Source organism: Homo sapiens, chromosome 18 (genome assembly GCF_000001405.40).
Source record: "Homo sapiens chromosome 18, GRCh38.p14 Primary Assembly".
Lineage (NCBI taxonomy): Eukaryota > Metazoa > Chordata > Mammalia > Primates > Hominidae > Homo > Homo sapiens.
In genome coordinates, this window is record NC_000018.10 from 13637269 (window position 1) to 13653161 (window position 15893).

At 46.0% G+C, this 15893-nt stretch overlaps 1 protein-coding gene across 52 annotated transcripts in view, besides 2 other annotated features; it reads left to right on the forward strand.

Moving 5' to 3' along the window:
• LDLRAD4 (low density lipoprotein receptor class A domain containing 4) overlaps positions 1–15486 on the forward strand; it is a 435073-nt gene extending 419587 nt beyond the window's left edge. For 30 of the 52 annotated variants that reach the window (XM_047437773.1, XM_047437776.1, XM_047437774.1 and 27 more), the window contains 2 exons: positions 6091–6144; positions 7859–15486. In XM_047437773.1, the coding sequence (XP_047293729.1) occupies positions 6091–6144; positions 7859–8389 (585 nt within the window). In that variant the 3' untranslated portion in view covers positions 8390–15486. Of the gene's footprint in view, positions 1–4489; positions 5490–6090; positions 6145–7858 lie in introns of those variants that run through there. The other 22 variants (NR_172142.1, NM_181481.5, NM_001394666.1 and 19 more) reach the window with 4 other exon arrangements.
• Positions 11790–12291: an enhancer, noted in NCBI's record as "H3K4me1 hESC enhancer chr18:13649057-13649558 (GRCh37/hg19 assembly coordinates)". NCBI's record gives its function as "activates a minimal SCP1, AML or CMV promoter by ChIP-STARR-seq in naive H9 embryonic stem cells {active_cell/tissue: H9 hESC(naive)}" and the evidence as "EXISTENCE:reporter gene assay evidence [ECO:0000049][PMID:30033119]".
• Positions 12292–12791: an enhancer, noted in NCBI's record as "H3K4me1 hESC enhancer chr18:13649559-13650058 (GRCh37/hg19 assembly coordinates)". NCBI's record gives its function as "activates a minimal SCP1, AML or CMV promoter by ChIP-STARR-seq in naive H9 embryonic stem cells {active_cell/tissue: H9 hESC(naive)}" and the evidence as "EXISTENCE:reporter gene assay evidence [ECO:0000049][PMID:30033119]".
• Positions 15487–15893: the final 407 nt, after the last annotated feature.

Sequence of the window (15893 nt, forward strand, 5' to 3'; positions counted from 1 at the left end):
ATGTTTTAATAGCGCAGATAGTCTTTATGCAGTGGCGGGCCATTGGTCTGTGTAGCACCTGGGGTTCTTCTGAAACCAAGTAGCCAGAGCCAGAGAAGAACTTGCCTGTAAGGAGACTCTTGGTTAATGCAGCGCCCAACCTTAAGAGAAAGCTCCTGAAGAAATCTGGAATTAACACAACATTGCTTAAGCTGCCCCCATTCCTCAGCCTTTCCATTCAAAACACCACCTTTGGAATACTGTTTAAAAAAATAAGGAAATGTCAATGAACTTGTTGTCTTTAAAGGAATATCTTAAAAGAGATAATGGAAATTAGGCTGGGCGTGGTGGCTCAGGCCTGTAATCCTAGCACTTTGGGAGGCCGAGGCGGGTGGATCACTTGAGGTCAGGAGTTCGAGACAAACCTGGCCAACATGGTGAAACCCCGTCTCTACTAAAAATACAAAAATTAGCCAGGCATGGTGGCACATGCCTGTAGTCCCAGCTACTCAGGAGGCTGAGGCAGGAGAATCGCTTGAACCCGGGAGGCGGAGGTTGCAGTGAGCCAAGATCATGCCACTGCACTCCAGCCTGGGCAACAGAGCAAGACTCCGTCTCAACAACAAAAAAAAAAAAAAAAAGAGAGAGAGAGGTAATGGAAATTTATCCCCCTTTAACTGTGCATAACAACAGCAAGTAACCATTACCTGTGATGAGAAGAGCTACCTGTTTGCTGAAGCTTATTTAAGGCACTATGCTAAGGAATTCTCATAAATGGTATTTGAGCCTCATGACAACCTCTTTTTACAAATAAGGGAACTGAGGCTGGGAGAAACTAAATGAGCTGCCTGAGATCACAGTTTGGAAAGTGGCAGAAGCTGAGCTCGGTGGCACACACCTGTAGTCCCAGCTATCCGGGAGGCTGAGGTGGGAGGATGTGTTTGAGGCCAGGAGTTCAATGCTATGAGCACATTTATGAAAATGTGCTGCTCTCCAGCCTGGGCAACATAGACTTTGTCTCTTAAAAAATAATAAATGAAAATGTTTTAAATTTAAAAATGAAAAGCATGGCCAGAATTCTAGCCTATGCAATGGCTACCTACCTCAGAGACTTCTTACCCTTACAGATGTATACCTATGCTGATAGTGGTAGCCTCCATCTGTATAATATTAAATTGTCATCAGATAATTCTTGTTACCTTTTTTGTTACTGCCTTTGTTCCAGGGAGAAAATAAGAGAATAAAAACATGCTTGCAAGGCAGTGCACATACAAGAGGCCTCTGAAAGCTGCTGCCAGACCTGTGTGCCCCCAGAGCAGGTGCCCTCTCGTAAGCATCCTGGGGCAGGTATAACAGCCCCTGATAAGTCCTGCTCAGTGCGATGTGGGTCTCAAGGAACTGGTCCTTATAATGGTCAAACATGAGTGATTTGAGAGTAACGTAACTTAAAAAGTAAACTAGAATTCATTCAAAGTGATCCCTAGAGTAATGTCCCTCTAACCCACTGGCATTCCAGGATGCTTTCTTGAGTTTCTTGGGTTTAGAGTGACTCCATGAGCCCTGGGAACTGTGCAGAGCCCCTGTCTCCCAGCCCTTGGGGACATGCAGCACCAGTATCTGTTGGACATGTGCACATCTGCTCACATGTTGCAATGGAAGAGGACTGAGACCCGCTGCAAGGAAGTATTCCGTACATGTATAGTGAGGTCATTAATGAACAGCTGGGTGAATGGCTGCCTCCCTTTTGGTTGTTATTACAAGGAAATAGCCTACAAGACAGGGAATGCATTTCAGCCTGTATGAAGTTATTAACAAAGTTTTGTTCCTATTGCTTAAAATTCTGTGAACTACTTTAAGTATTATCTTATTTCACAGCTTATTTTGAGTGATACAACAATGTAAGCATTAGCCAAGAACATCAGTGCCTTCATTGTTGATTAAAATTGGCCCCATAATGAGTATGCGGGAATGCTGCCATCTGAGCGGCAGCCAGCTGTGTAGTGAGCCCCCTTCTCCCTGAAAATGTTCTCCATAGCATGTGGGGTGAGTGAAGAGACCCCCAACCTAGACAAGGGAGACACATCTTTGTACTCAGCTATCTGCACTCTCTCAGTTGGCACAAGCCCCTTGGAGGACACCAGTCACAGAGTCACACCCTCGTTTGACAGAGATGGAGCAGGAGCCAGCAGGCTTCATCAGCAGCATGAGAGGTTTAAGGGCTAAGGACGGTGACCTTGCCAACAATCAGCGTGTGACAGCCTTGGTGGAATGACCAGAGAAGGCTGTGGAGCGAGCATCAGCTAATGGTACGGGGTGGTTGGGATTCAGCCTTTCTAGAACTCCGGTCAGTCTTCCCATCTGGGTTTTCTGGGTAGCAGCCTGGGGCACAGAGCTGGAATGCCAGCCTTCTCGGGTTTTGGCCTCAAGCTCTTCCACCACAGCATGTTGTAGTTATAATGTCCCCATGTACTGTGTGGGTGAAAGGCCTGGGAAAAAAAGTTTCCTATAAAAGTAAATAAATTGGGGCAGGGGGCAATTGTCAGTAAATAGTTAAATAAATTATTATGTAGTCATAATTTTTGTTATATTATTATACCTCAATAAAGCTGGAAAAAACTGGTGGTGATAGAGGAAAGTGCTTATGTTATACTCTGTGAAGAAGAGAATACACAACTCTGGCCACATTATGGTTACAACTGTATAAATTTAATATATGCAAATGAACAAGCATTAGAAAAGCACTTAAAGAAAGAAACTGGCAAGGTGCGGTGGCTCACGCCTGTAATCCCAGCACTTTGGGAGGCCGAGGCGGGTGAATCACAAGGTCAGGAGATCGAGAGGATCCTGGCTAATATGGTGAAACCGCGTCTCTACTAACAGTACAAAAAAAACAAAATTAGCTGGGTGTGGTGGCGGGCGCCTGTAGTCCCATCTACTCGGTAGGCTGAGGCGGGAGAATGGCGTGAACCCGGGAGGCGGAGCTTGCAGTGAGCCGAGATCCCGCCCCTGCACTCCAGCCTGGGCAACAGAGCGAGATTCCATCTCAAAAAAAAAAAAAAAAAATGAAATCCGTTCAAGTATTAGGATGATGGGACTGTAGATGCATTTCCTCCCATTTTAGATTTTTAATTTTGCTGTTACATTCCTGCAAAAAACAAAAGCCAGGCAGGAAAAGTTCCCATCTCCAGGCCATCCCGTCTGGCAGATGTCCCAAGGCAGGAATGGCCTGAACTCCTCTCTACCAGTGGCCAACTCTCCTGCTCCAGGCTTGGTTCTCAGGCTTTGAGAACCTCAGGGCAGAACACCTTTTTCCACCCCAGCAAGCAAAATGAATAGGTAACAATTGTGCCCTTGTTTTGAGCAACAGGAGCAGATGGGACCTACACTGGTGGGCTGGCCTGGGAAAGGTCCAGGGCTGGCTTGGCCCGGGCAGCAAGGCTGAGGAAGGTGGTGTGGCGGGGAGGAGACCCCAGGGCTGCAGGCATGCCCTGCGTTACCCTCTGCACCCCTTTCCTGGCCTCAGGAACTCTCTGTGGGATGCGTTAGAAGACCTGCCGACAGGCCGGATAAGGCCAATGAGAGAGGGAACGGAGAAGAGGGGCACCTGGGTTCACAGGCCTTAAGAAAGAATTTAGTTACTTATTTAACAAATTAAACAATGTGTGTCACGCATGTAGGTCTGGGAAATGCATTATTAAAAACACACAGTGCAGAGGTGCAGCACCAGCATACGGGTGGATTTGGGACTCTAAAATGGCTTTGGTTGTGTGTGGTACAAGGGAGAATGTATACATGTATTACGTGTGTAGTTTTTTAAAGTACACATATAGAGGAAAAGATGAGACAAGTCTGATGAGATGTCAACAGCAACAATTCTTAGTTGTGGGTGCTGTGAATTTCCCAGAGAGGAGGAGAGTCCTTTAGCTGGGCATGGTGATTTCAGCACTTTAGCAGGCTGAGGCAGGATCACTTGAGCCCAGGAGTTCAAGATCAGCTTGGGCAGCATAGCGAGATCCCCATCTCAATAGATGGATTAGATGGATGGATAGGTAAATAGAGAGAGAGAGAGATACAGATATTTAGATAGATAGCCTAGATTGCTTGATGAATGGATAAGTTGGATAGGCAGAGACAAATGGATAGAGATAGATTAGAAGGATAGATGGATAGATTAGATGGATGAATGAATAGAGAGAAACAGATTAGACAGAGATAGATGGATCCATCGATTGATTAGATAGGTTAAGATAGTCCTTGCATTCAGGCAAGCCACAGCAGGTGCCGCCTAGGGCAGCGGCCTCTGCCCAGACACTCAGTGCTGCAGAACAGGAGGGAGGCCGGGGCCTGTGGCGGGCGAGGGAAATGCGGGGCCCGAGGACTGGGGTGAGGGAGAGAGGCGGCGGCCCAGAGGAGCAGCAGGCGCGCCTCTGGCGGTTTCCTGTCCGGGCTGGCGGGGCCGCCAGTCGGCGTGGGGTGCGGCAAGGGGAGCGGGGCGCTGGGTCAGCCGAGGGCCGGGCCTCGGGGGCGCAGCCGGACTGGACGGCGGCTCCTGTGGGCACTTGGCCGGGTTTGCTGGTTTTTCGGGAAATAAGGCCACTGGGGACAGTCACTACGTTTTCAGGAACCGCTCAGCCCCTCTGAGTGCCCCGCAGATGGACCTGGCGGCGTTCCTGGCTACGGCTGACTGGGCTCCCGGAGCGAGGAGCGCCCCTGCGGGCCCAGCCTGGGCCCTGGGCGGTGGGAGGGCCTCCGCCCCCTTCCCGCTTCCGCCCCGCTGGCGCCGGACCCCCGCCCTCGTCTGTGCCTGCCAGGCCGGGCCCTTCCCTCCCGTCACAGGCGGTCCCTGAGCCCACCCTTCGTCTCCGAGCAGCTGGACCGCCGTATACGTTTGCCACTGATTCCAGGATGTCCCCGAGTATCTTAGGAAAGGGCCGTGTTGGACAAACGCGGGGCTCGGTGTTTCTTCCGCGCCGTCCCTCGCTGCTGGCGCCGGGGCCGTCGGAGGCTCAGTGATGGCCCAGCCCGCCCGTTTCCGAGAATTCCCCAAACGCGGGCCCCTACACGCTGAGTTCGCGCTCTCCCGTGACGGCCGACAGCCCCGCGGACCCTGCTGACAGCCACACTCTGGGCTGAAAAGGGTACCACGCGTACTTTTTTTCCCAGCACGCGTGGGGCCTTGGAAAGAACCTTTACTGAGGCCTGTGGCTGGCCTGTCACCTTGTCAATCTGGCCAAACGTTTTTGAAAAAGGATGCTAACTCACCAGATGTGAAGTTGCATCTGCCCTGTGAATAGGTGGACTGGAGAAGACACTCGCTGGAGGATCCTGAGCCCAGGCTCGGAAAGGGCCGTCCACCTGCGAGCGCGGACTTGCGCCTCTGCTGGAGGCCGGGCAGGGCACGGGCGGGCCCCGGGCCACCTCTGCCAGGGCTTCCTCAACCCAGCCTGCCCTCATCGGGCGGCCACTGAATGCGGTTGGACAGTCATCTTGAATGTATTTCAAGCACACAGGTGTAGAGAGTGAGCCATATTCCACTTCAAATCTAATCTGGCCAGGAGTTCAACTTTTCCATGTTTCCTTTTGTTCACAGCCCTCCATGTAGACAAGAGGTCTGAAAAGGGACGGGCTCTTTCTCGCTCCACGTTTTTTGTTTGTTTGTTTGTTTGTTTATCTATTTTTTGTTTTTTTTTTTTCTTCTGTTTTTTTGATACGGAGTCTCACTCTGTCGCCCAGGCTGGAGTGCAGTGGCAAGATCTCGGCTCACTGCAACCTCCGCGTCCCAGGTTTAAGCGATTCTCCTGCCTCACCCTCCCGAGTAGCTGGGATTACAGGCACCCGCCACCACGCCCAACTAATGTTTGTATTTTTAGTAGAGACGGGGTTTCACCATGTTGGCCAGGCTGGTCTCGAACTCCTGACCTCGTGATCCATCCGCCTCTGCCTCCCAAAGTGCTGGGATTACAGGCTTGAGCCATGGCGCCCGGCCTCGCTCCACGTTTTATGCAGATCCCCGTTTCCAGAAGTTGTGCTTCATGTTTTTAGGTGCGGCGGGGCTAATGATTTTCCTCTGTTTCTTGTTCCCCCCACTCTCCTCCCCTTCCCCTCCGCCAGGAAGGGTGCCTGTGGCCTTCAGACAGCGCCGCACCGCGGCTGGGCGCCTCGGAGGTAAGGGGCCCCAGGAGGTGATGGCTGCGGGGGGCGGGGGGGGTGGGTGGGGATGAAGGGGGCGTGTCCCTGCCACGTGGGGTGGAAGGGGAGGGGCCTCACCACGTGGGCTGACACTTTTGGAGGAAGGCATTGCCTAGAACTTTGGTCAAAAGCGGGAGGGGACTTCCCCTAGAATCTTCCAGGGATTATTCCTGCTAGTCTAAAGCTCCTTATCAAAAACAATTTGAGAATCACTTATCTTTACATGATCCCGTAAGCTTCTACTAATGTGCCTTGGCAAGTGGGCATGGTTTATAAATATCATAGCATGATTCATTCCCACATCTCCAAGTGTAATAATGTGGATTTTAAAATAACATGTTTTTGCCTTTAAGTTAAAAATATTGGTGTGAGAGAAATCAATATCTGTATGTACGTGTGTAGATATGTGTGTATATTAAATGCATGTATATACACATATATGTATACACACATACACATCTATGCATATATGCGTGTGTGTGTGTATGTACGTATATAAAAGAGCCGTCTCCTAGAAGAAACTGGGATGGTAGAACAAATGAGAAGATTTTGTAAGAAATGTACTACCTGGATTCATTTTGAAAAAATAAATTATTATAATCATATTTATTTGAGTAAAAAATATTTTTCATGTCAGTGACTAAAAATAACTACAGGAAACTTTTATTCAGATTCCAGATAACTGGAAAAGTCTAGGAGCCACAAAGAAAAAACAGTCATTTTGGGGGGAATTTGTTAAAAAGTAATTGGCAATGATCTTCTCTAAGTAATTAATAAATCGACCCAATGCTTTGTATCTGCTCCACGTACCACTGTGTGAAGTTATAACTTCTGCTTACTCAGAGTTCTGGCCGGCGCAGTAGCTCATGACTGTAATCCTAGCACTTTAGGAAGCTGAGGTGGGTGGGTCACTTAAGCTCAGGAGTTCAAGACAAGCCTATGCAACATGACAAAACCCCATCTCAAAAAAAAAAAAAAAAAAAAAGCTAGGCATGGTGGTGTGCACCTGTAGTCTCAGCTACTCAGGAGGTTGAGGTGGGAGAATCACTTGAGCCCAGAAGGTTAAGGTTGCAATAAGCCAAGATGGCGCCACTGCACTCCAGCCTAGGTGACAGAGCCAGACCCTGTCTCAAAAAAAAAAAAAATTAAGATAAAAAATTAAATAAAAATAAAAACTCGGAGCCCCTCCTTACTTTTCTGAACCATAGGTTCTAAGTTCTAGAGCTGGCAGGGACCTGAGAAAGCAGGCAGCCCTGTCCTGTCCTCGTAAGTTATAGAGAAGCCGAGGACTGGACGATGTCACTGGTGACCAGATCCAAGTGCAGGCCGCAGTGCTCTTCGCCCTGTGACTCTTGGAGTTCCTAGTGTGTTCTGTTTCCAAGGGGAAAATGCACACGTAGCACGCACAGAAACTCCCAGGAGCCCAAGCTTTCCATTACCCACAGCTCTCCATTGCTCAGCCCTCCTGGATGCGCTGGGATTTGGCAAGGTGAGTGGTCTGTCATAAGGAATCAGAAAAGTACACTTTTTTTTCTGGAATTGGATTTTCCTGTTTTCTTTTTTTTTTTCCTGGGAGATGGTGTTCAAACTGGTAGGAACACACACCAAGCGTAACTTTCCTTGATTCTGACACATTTATGGTCATCATTGCGCTCAAACTGTCTTCAAGCCTCTCCTCTTTTCCTTCCAGATCATGCATGCCCCGCGGTCCAGGGACAGGTTCACAGCGCCGTCCTTCATCCAGAGGGATCGCTTCAGCCGCTTCCAGCCCACCTACCCCTATGTGCAGCACGAGATTGATCTTCCTCCCACCATCTCCCTGTCCGACGGTGAAGAGCCACCTCCTTACCAGGGGCCCTGCACCCTGCAGCTCCGGGACCCTGAACAGCAGATGGAACTCAACCGAGAGTCCGTGAGGGCCCCACCCAACCGAACCATATTTGACAGTGATTTAATAGACATTGCTATGTATAGCGGGGGTCCATGCCCACCCAGCAGCAACTCGGGCATCAGTGCAAGCACCTGCAGCAGTAACGGGAGGATGGAGGGGCCACCCCCCACATACAGCGAGGTGATGGGCCACCACCCAGGCGCCTCTTTCCTCCATCACCAGCGCAGCAACGCACACAGGGGCAGCAGACTGCAGTTTCAGCAGAACAATGCAGAGAGCACAATAGTACCCATCAAAGGCAAAGATAGGAAGCCTGGGAACCTGGTCTGATTCCTTCCAACGTGCACTTCAGCTGGAGAAAGAAACCAAGAAGGGAAGCGGCCGCTGGGCCCCTCCTGCGCACAGTGTTGTTCAGTTTCACATGGTACAAATAAGTAAAACCAAATGAGCAAACACGGTCTTTGTTTCTGATTCCTTTTAGGGGAATTGCATGCAAACTAGACTGAAATGATACAAACTTCCATCTGGTCTGACCGCAAACAGTGTTTATTTGGGGACAGGGGTTGGGATGGGGGTGTGGGCAGGGGAAAACAGAGAACGGGATGCTTTGAAGATACCATGAAATAAAACCCACAGAGGTATTTGATGTATTTAATTGTGAAAGGAGACTTTGCAGATAAATGAGGCCAGAATGGCATGTTTTATAATTAACTGAATAAAGAAGGAAGCATTATTATATATTATTGTGGGGAAGAACCAGCCAGTTCGCTTTTTCTCCTAAGGTGTGGAACTTTTATTTTGTTTTAAAAATATGAATCAAAATTCCTGTGTTGTGTGCCAAGGTATAAAGTGGAGAAGTTAGATGAGTGCAAGGAGCTCCTTTGTGTTGTGATGATGTGTTTTAAAAGTTGCACTATCTTAATGTTGAAAATATTTACAAGGGAACTGTTTTACGTGAAGTTCTGTATGTTGTCTTTTCACCTGTGGATTGTAATCAGGCCCAAGGAATATCCTGGAGTGGTCCCCAGAAGCATCCAAGAAAAGATATTTGGGGACGTAGCCTAACATTTTACCAACTTACGTAAATCAAAAAAGTCATTATTGTTGCAGGAGTTTGCATCAAATAGCAGTGCATCGCTGAAGCTTTTGGAGACTTTTGGATGGAAGATAAGATAGGGAAGATTAAGTTCCAGCATTTCTGACTTGTTATTTTGAGTTACTCTGCTACTCTTAGGCTGCATAGTTTATGAGAAAATGAACACATGCATTTATGGATCCAGTATCATGCAGTGCTGCCCTCATCCTCCAGCAGTGCAATTTCTTCAGTAATTTAGATTTTTTTCACTATAGCATGAAATATATTCAAATACATACCTTATTTTATGCAATAAATTGTTTAAAATGCAAGGTGGTTATTCTGCATACTGTTGAAATATGTGACTCCTCAGTATATTCCCATTGCCTCTCCCCCTTTCCTCGACAGCTTAGTTCAGTTCTGCAGGGCTGCTCAGTTCACAGGAGGCTCCCAGCAGCCACCCCACATCCAGCCTACACAGAACTTCGTGTGGGAGTGGTGTGGGTGGTGGTTTCTTATGCTTTGGAAGCCCCTAGAAATAATGACGGAAGAATGCCATGTTGCTGATCGTGGTAATAAGCCATTGTGGGTTATTGTATGTCACTAGTATTAGCATAGCATTCTTAAAGGAATGCAGTGCTCAAAACCTACCCAAATTCCCGCAGGATTCTACCAAACCCTTCCCCAGGCCAGCTTTTGTACTGAAGGCAAGAACTGGACAGTCAGAGAACAGTGGAGGGGGCAAGTGACTGAAGAGCACCGGGTAAAAAGCACAACATGCAGTTAAAATGCAACTAGAAAACTAATTTTAAATATTGTTAGTTTTAATATTCCTGATATTTACAAATATTCATTCTTATATACAATGAAAAAAATAACTTTCTTCTGCAGATGTAAGCACTGGCTTTTATAAGAGCAGCAGCCAACACGTTTAGCAGACACTGCGCGTGGAGAAGGGCTTATCTGCAGTACACTCTGCCATGTGGAGGGTGGGCCTCTGTGGCCTCTTCACATAACAAGATGAGCTGGAATGATGATTCCATGACTCCCACCTATGCAGCCTTAAAGCCAAATCCGCGTGTGTGTGTTTGTGTCTGTCTGTGGGTCTCGAAGGTGATCCGTCGGTGCGGTGGCTCTGTGCTGTAACTGGAGAGACTGTTCCAAACCCCAAGAGTTGTCTGATCCTAGTCTGTTCCCTTCTGCTTCTTACCTCTGTAGATAGGTCACTGGTTTTTGTTTGTTTGTTTTGAGGATTGGAATTTCCATTACATTCATCCTTTGCACACAGTAACATCCACAGAACTAGTCCAACTCTTAAAAGGAGAGAGGAAAAACACAGGCACCAGTTGTCAGCTCATGCTTACAACCTGTGTGGAAGTATATACAGTTGAGAGTCACAGTGGAGGTTCTGAGACTGGATTCAGTCTTGTTCCAGTGACAGTTGGAAGGCCTCTGCTGGAGAGACACCAGCTCTCAGGGCAGAGATTGGCTTGGGGCCAGAAGGACCCTCCCCAACCCTGGAGACACCCTGAAGGTTCACTGGCTCTCCAGATTAGCCTCTCTTCCTCTGTCAGGCAAAGATGAGGAGCCCGTGTTCCCATCGGGCCCTGCTGGCAGGGACTTGCAGTGGATTCTTGGTCAGGTGTGCCCACAGATGCGGAGGCGAGGTGAGTGATTCCATCATTTCAGTTCTCACCTGCAGTTTTGGTGAAGCAGGAGATGCACCCCACAGCTCTAGCTCTCAAATGGCTTCACAGTCCTTACTTCTCTACCTGCCTCAAGAAGGGGCTCAGAGCAGAGACTTGTGAATTCCTTAGTAACTGTGAGTATATGAATGTGTTGCACATGTCCACAGTATTGGCGAGATAATTACATAATTCAGATACCTTTAATCATCTTTCAAGAAAGAGGCTCCTCCCATTCAACCACCCTAGAGAACTGCCTTTGTTAAATAGTTATTTAAAGACTCATACATATCAAACCATGACTTTGAAAGGTCTTCGAGGCTGGGGCTCTGTAATGAATTAGTTTAAAAGCCAAGGTCATAACATGAATTGATGGTCAATTTCCCTTCAGCAGAAGGAAAAGGTGATTTAGATCAGTAGCTCTTTTGAAGGTTGTGGCTGACCTGTTCATACCGTGTCGCCTCATGGCTAGTGTGGCGTTGAAAGAGTAGCGACTGGGAAGATACAACTTACACAGTGGGGCCTATTGTTCTTTCAAGAACCCTTTTTTTAGCTTATAGAACCCATGGGTCCAGTTTAGTAACGAGTGATTTAGGCAATCAATGATAGGTTTATAATCTTAGATTATTCCAGCAAAGTGTGGATTGCATTGTTAGGAAGAACATTTGGTGGGAATGAACACTCCTGGGCATACCGCTGACTTTTGTCCCTTGTTCCCGGTGTAGGAGACCCAAGGCATCTTGAATCCCATCTATAAGAACACAATCTTCCAGCATACGTTTGCTTTTTCAGAAACTCTAGCATTCTCTTTAAATACTGACGCAATCCTTAATGGAAAAGAGATTTCATGAAGCAAATTATGTATTTCAATAGTTCTTCTATTTTTAGTGTCCAAAATTTACTAATACAGAAGCTTGACAAGCATGTCCTCACCCTCCCCACCACATAAACACATGGACACACACCCAAGCCACAAGAAATCCCAAGAGAGCAGAAGCGAATTTTTAAAAGATTTATCGTGAGGACTGCATTTCCATTCACTAATTTTGGCTCAAACTTATGAGGCAGGAAATAGGGGCCAACAGTAAATGGGGGAGGCCTCCTGACACCAGCAGAGGAATTTTGTACCCAGGCGAGGACTTCTTGAACTTCTGCGTATCTCCGTTTGATCTCTTTCACCTTTATTTCATCTTCATAAGAATGAGAAAGGCTCAAAAGGAAGCACTTTTAGAAATCTTCTCTGACCTAGAAGAATCCATCCAAATCCCTGCCTTCCTCTCTGAACCAACAGTTCCCTTCTCTGACAGGGGCCATCCTCTATCTTCCATCCAGCGGCTCTTCTTTTTAGGAAGGCTCTGGTGCAGAGCACTTCAAATATGTCCTCAGGCCAGATACTGATTGCTAGTAGAGAGACACCCGGCACCCAGTCCGAAGCCCTCCCTCAAAGGACCGGCTCATGGCGTTGGTCACTGGCAGGCTCAGAGACATTCTGCTGTGGGCGCAGGGAGCCCGGCCCCCCATGCAGCCATGACTGGATGCGCCCCCATCTCGGGGGCTTGCTGCACTGCTTGTTTATTGAATTTTGCTACTTAGAATGGCAACATTAACTTTGTGTACCATTCATTTTTTAAAAATTTTCCAAAGCTCGGCAGTGTATGAAAGAAAAAACTGGGAAAGATACTTGGTTTCTGTTAACTTTTGTGTTGCTTGCTTAAGTGATTAAAGCCAGTGCTTGGAGCCAAGCCTTCATGCCACGAACATGCTCCACAGCCTGCCCTTTGCTCTCCTGCTCACACTGACCAAGAATGCCGCGTGCTTGGCCTACTGAGGTGAAAGGACAATTGAATGACAGGTGGGCAAAGGGAGAACTTCCCCTTCTTGGTGCGAGGAAAGTCACAAATTTAAAAATGTTGCTTCCAGCCCAGATCCTAAATGCTAGTTCTCAGCAGCTGCGTGGCTTACCGTTCGCCATTTCCACCACCGCCAGCTGCCAGCACCGCTACAGATCACAGAGATGTGAACAGACAATGGAAAGCACTCTTAGCCTTGCAGTGGTCTACATTTTTTAGGAACCAATATTTCAGCATTCTTTATTACCCGGCACGCTGTGTCCTTTGCAGAGTTCAAGTTTATGTTACTGCCAGGGTCAGACAGTCATTTGCTGCTGCTGCTGCTGCTGCTGCTTCTCGAACTGGATGCATTAGGAAGCTGCTGTCTGAGTGTAGGAATGTCTTGCTAAGAAAGCAATGTCTTCCTTCATCCTTTTCTTTCTTCCCTCTGCGTGTCCTTGTTTTTGTGTAATGCGGGAGAGGGTTAGAGCTATAGAGATTATATATACACTATCCGTGCACATTATATATATGTAGATATACCCCTATCATGTCAGAGATCTGCATGTCAGTTTTTCAGCAACTAAGGTGCCTCATGTTCTGAGTTCAGCAGATATAGGAACCAAGCCGCCCCCTCCTGCACTTGATGCTCCCACCTTTGTTGTGCCTCACTTAAAATGGTGCTTTTTTCAGTTGTCTGTCTTTTCTTATGTTTTTATTTGTAAGGTGCTGTATATAAGTTGAATATATTATGCACATATCCTACCCAATGGGTAGAACAAAAAGTTGTTAATACTGTAATATAATGTATAGATGATACCAATTTTAACAGAAATGGCATAGAATTTGTGAATGCCTATGTGCTTTGTCCTCTTTTGTAAGGAAATTTGCAAATGGATGCATACAGATTAAAGTCTATGTAGTTTATTTTCCTATTAAATATCAATATTATAACACAAGAGAAAGAAGTGTGAACAAACAAGCAACAGTTTATGACCAGCGTATATATAGCAATGGAAAGTTGCATCTTTGCTGTGAAAACACTTTAAAGAAAATACTTTTTAAAAAATCCCACAGCTTTTTGGTTGCCACTAGACGCTTCTTATTTTAATCATTTTAGTAATGCTCAGCTGGACCAGTGTTAGTTATATTTGAGTCAGAAAAATGTTGTTTTTCAACTTGCTTTATAATCTCCTGCATCTATCTCCTGCTGTAGCATCACGAAGGTGTCAGGCAACAGTGAAAAGTGCACATTTTTGTTGTTGCAGAAACTGTGTCAGAGGAATAAGTAAATCAGCCTGCAGCAGAAGACTTTGTTCAGCTCCAGAGGCATCTGTGACCGTCTGTGTCCAAGTCTCTCTGTGCCTTTTTCTTTTACAAACTGAAGCTGTGGAGCCAATGAAGTAACAGTAGAGATTGTAGGGAAAGAATACCTCAGGAAAAACAAATACACTTACAAGAAGACCCTGTTCTTAGAAAATGTGTTTAGTTATGGGTTAGCACTAGAAGAGACTTGGCTGTCAGCCAGCCAAGTGAAGGACCTCTCATCCATTCCCATTCATGTCCCATCATAATACGGACCCAAAAAGCAAACTCGGTTTTGCCATCAGTTAGAAATTACGTTTTGGATTGTATATTGTTACATCTCTCTTCCGGCTTAGTTTTTAGTGTCTGATTGTGACCTCTGCATTTATCTTCAAATACCCTAATTTTAAAACAAAAGAACAAGAAAAGTTTATAACACCATGTTCACTAAAACCACGGTTGAATCTTGGGTGTGGGCATCCTTTCGAGTGTTGTCCATAAGAGCAGTTCGTGGAATTTTGCCCATCTGACCCATATTATCAGCTTATTCTGCCACCAGAGTAGAGTCTAATAAATTCCAAAGTTTTTATTTGCTCCATGGTGTATGTTCTGACTTTGAAAATGTCAGATTCTATAATCATACCCCTAACATCCAGGAAACAAATGACAGATTATCTTTAAACTGAAATTGACTCTACAATGCAACCCTTAATGCTGAATGGATTAAAAAAGTCAGCCCTTTTAGTATCTGTTTGAAAGGGCCGTAAAAAGTTGACACTTTTGTTGTTGTGGATCCTGCGTGTCTAGACCCACGTGTTGTTTCCATCGTATACTGTAGGGTGCACCCCTTGGGATTCATCATTAAGAACTGAGGCTCACTGTTGTCAGAAACAAAGCTCCCACCCCCCAGGTTCAACCTTGTGGGAGAACTGTTGAGCATGAGAATGTTCTAGACTCAGAGGTACTAAAATTTGTTACCACATCATTGCTTCCTTTCTACAGGACGAATTGAGGCTTAAACTTTACTGTTAATGATACTGGTTCATTTTAATGTGCTTGTTGGTATGTTGCTATTTTTCATTTCATAGCTTTCAAAAATCATGCTAATTGTATACTTGTCTAGTTTAAGGCTATTTTAAAATATGTACAATACTATTCACAGCATTTAGTTCGTTTAATTTTTATTATAAAGCAATCTACTAAAAAAGTACAACTGTATTTGAACTTTTCAATAGTTGTTTGTGAGCTATGATAATCAAAAGTCATTAAAGTCTTTTTTAACAAACATTCGTGCTTACTTTTCAACATAATTCCCAGTTATATACAGAAAAAGATTTCCACCTGTCACGTATCTGCCTCTTTTACCTGAGCAATGGTGTAGTTCTTAGACCTAAGGTCTGTAATTGCAATACTTTTAAAGAAAGATGTTGCTCTAAGTGCTGTTTGTTAGTTATGAAATCAGATTTTTCTGCTTGTTCTTAATGCTGTGGTCAAACCATAGCACAAAATCATTAAAAATAATCAGCGGCATACATTTGTCCCTTGGGTTTTTGTTTTGTTTTTCTTTGTCTTTCAGCAACAAGGCACATGCATGGGGAAAATGCTGTGTGTTTTAAGACCTGTCTCAAAGAAATACTTCCTGTGGCTCCCTAGCTAAACTTCCCACTCAGCTTGTAGTCACTCTGACTTTTCAAAAAAATCACTACTTCATATTCTACTAGAAGCAATTCTGGTCAGATCATGATTCGTTTCCCAATGCTGGGTTCTACACAGGTCATTCAGACAGTCATCAGGTCCCCTCATGCAAGGAGTCCCCAGAGAAACTGCTCACCCCACCTGAGGCGCCCAGGGAGGACTTTCTAGATGCCTCAAAAAGTCTTTGGGTGGCTGTCACACAAAACCGAAATGCTCAGCCCAAAATATGAACAAGATTCCTAACA